This window comes from Homo sapiens, chromosome 2 (assembly GCF_000001405.40).
Source record: "Homo sapiens chromosome 2, GRCh38.p14 Primary Assembly".
Classification (NCBI taxonomy): Eukaryota; Metazoa; Chordata; class Mammalia; order Primates; family Hominidae; genus Homo; species Homo sapiens.
The window spans coordinates 116,489,342-116,492,387 of NC_000002.12; the positions used below are offsets into that span (position 1 = coordinate 116,489,342).

Here is a 3,046-nt window from a genome sequence, read left to right on the forward strand (position 1 = left end):
GGGCCATATTCAATATGACTGATGTCCTTATATGAAGAGAAAAATTCAGACATAGCCACGCATAAAGGAAAGATCAAACGAAGACAAAGAGAGAAGATGACTATAAGTCAAGGAGAGAATTCTCAGAAGACACCAAAACTGCTGACACCTTAATTTTCCAGAACTGTGACAAAACAAATTTCTGTTGTTTAAGACATCCGGTCTGTGATATTTTCTGATGGCGTCCCTGACACACGAATATGCCATACAAATTTTAAGTGGTGTTAATGTCTTCTAGCCTTAATAACTTGCAAAATTTCTTATTCATCCTGCATTATCATAAGTTATAAAAGTGAAACATTTGTCATCGCTCAAAACGTATAGAAACTAAGTACAAATTTTCACTGTTGTGTTTTATTATGGCAGCACTTGCAGACTAATATGGAATCTTAATGGCCTTGCCCCTTCACTATCTACACAGGAACAAAAAGTAGAAAAAAATCTATGTCAAATAAATTAGTGGCTTTTATATCTGCCTAATTAAGTAAACTGCAGTTATATTCAGAGGAAGCCTACAAAGTTTTTGAGTGAATTATATCAGCAAAACCATTCCAGAATTAGATGAATGAAATAACAAGATGCTTTTTGAAATTTCAAATCCTACAGGCAGAAAGCAAGCTGGGAATACTACTTGGCTTCAAACACATTTACCAAAAATTAAGTATGACTCAAAGCGTATGATAAAAACCTCAGAGGGAGGAAATGAGAGCTGTGGAGAATTATTCTCAGGCCTTGAGACCTAATCAAGGAGCTGTCAACATTTGCCTGGCTAGATTTCAGAATTTCTATCAGTGACTCATTTTGCTTCTAATTTCCCCCCTTTTTAAACAGTAATGTCTTCAGGAGTTACCCTGTACCTGTCCCCTTACTGTATGTTGATCATGCAAAGAACAGAATGTGTCTCTCTAGTTTGACAAATCAACAGATTGACAAGAACTGTACTTAAGAAGCTGCACTTGTGGCACTGTTATTTGAGGAGAGTCATCACACATGAAAATAAGTTAGGCAGTGAGATTATGACCTTTAAGCTGGTGATGTAATGTGATGGAACTTTAGGGGAATGTGGGAGGAATATGAATTATTGGAATCAGAGTGCAGATTAAGAAAACAGCTTCTTAGATGGCCCCAATAATTCTAACCTCCTGGTGCGGTATTAACACCTTGTGTAATCCCCTCCTCTTCATTTTGTGAGAGTCCAGTGACTTTCTTCCAATAAGTACAATCTGGCAAAGGCGTTGAGCTCCCTTCTGAAAAATGTTCTTTCTCCTGCTTTTTCTCTTCTGCTTTATCTCACTTGTTCATTCTGATGGAAGCCAGCTGACATGCTGCATGTTGCCCAACGGAAAACCATATGGCGCGCAATGGAGGGAGCTTCTGGTCCACCGCCAAGGAGAAACTGAGATCCTCAGGCCAACAACAGTGAGGAACTGAATGTTGCTATCAATCACAGGACCGATCTTGGAAGTAAACCCTCCCTTAGGTGAGGCTTCAGGAGAGACAATGACTCTGGCTAACACCTTAACGTCATTCCTGTGGAAAATCTGGAGAAAGAATCAGCCAGCTAAGCTGCACCCAGAATCGTGACTCACAGAAGCTGTGAGATAATAATGGCTTTTTTCTTTGTTTGTTTTAAGCCATTGGGTTTTGCATTAATTTGTTACACAGCTACAGATGACTAATACAATCTGTGGCTTTCTTTTAGCAAATGGAATGTAAGAGAAGTGGTGCTGTGTAATCTCTAAGATTATTAGACCAAAAGAACTTCCACAGCTTCCTCCTTCCACATTAAAAATGCTGCCCTTAGGACTTTGAGACCAGCCTGGCCAACATGACAAAACCCCGTCTCTACTAAAAATACAAAAATTAGCCGGGTGCAGTGGCAGGCACCTGTAATCCCAGCTACTCAGGAGGTTGAGGCAGGAGAATCGCTTGAACCTGGGAGGCGGAGGTTGCAGTGAGCCGAGATCATGCCACTGCACTCCAGCCTGGGCGAAAGAGTCAGATTCTGTCTCAAAAAAGAAAAACAAAAAAAATGCTGCCCGTAGAGTGCTGAGTCAGCATATTAGAATTCTGACTACCCCGAGGCACTCACGCTGTGAGGAAACCCAGACTACCTGTAGGTGCTTAGTCGAAGGCAAGCCTAACATAGAAGCTGTCCTAGGCAGGCACTCGACATGGAGCTGAAGAAGCCTCCCTGTGATTCTTTTACCTAGCTAGTTGAGTCACTCTCACTCGAGTCTTCCAAGCTGAAGCAATAAATATGACGAAACAGAAAAAAGCCATCTTTTCAGTACTCTGCTTAAATTCTTATCCCACTGAATTCATTAGTTTAATAAAATTGTTGTTTTTGTGGCACTACAGTTGGAAGCAACTTAACATATTTTCTAGTCACCATGAAGCAGCTATGAGTCTGAAAAAAAAAAAAGAGCTATGAATCTCTTTACTTCTTAATAAAGACCATTTAGGAAAGTTTGCATTTAGCTGATAAGGGCCACAGTACATCTTAGTTGCTTACCCTATGGAAATATCAACTCTCCAGAATCACTCACCTCTTAAAAACACAGTACATCGCCTGGATCCATTATGCTGAGGGTATCATGCTAAATGGAACTAGTAAACTAAACATTACTAAACGTTTTAATACAACACATATGTGGCACAGAGTGGAAAACAAATCCTATAAAAATGTAGATAGCTGTCTGTCCTATGGTCTAGGGTATGTTCAGTCATCCCTTCCAAGGTAAAGGATGAATTCCTGCATCTCGCATTCTTACAACTAAGACACAGACACAGTGTCTGGTGATGCTCTTTGGAAGAATACACTTGTTGTCGGATTGTGCTATCAAAAACTATTTGCCAAATATTCCAAAAGTTTTCCAGTTTTTAATGGAACCCAGAAAAGAAAATGCTTTGTAACAGGTCCAGGATGCTGTGCAGGCTGCTCTGCTATTTGGCTTACGTAGCTAAGCAGATCAAAAGGTGCTCAAAGAATGTGTGGCAGATAGAA

The 3,046-nt window shown here is 40.2% G+C and overlaps 1 annotated feature.

The window, feature by feature from the left end:
- Positions 1,138 to 2,337: an enhancer, noted in NCBI's record as "MED14-independent group 3 enhancer chr2:117248055-117249254 (GRCh37/hg19 assembly coordinates)". NCBI's record gives its function as "activates an origin of replication core promoter dependent on BRD2, BRD4, P300/CBP and CDK7 cofactors, and independent of MED14, by STARR-seq in HCT116 cells {active_cell/tissue: HCT116}" and the evidence as "EXISTENCE:reporter gene assay evidence [ECO:0000049][PMID:35650434]".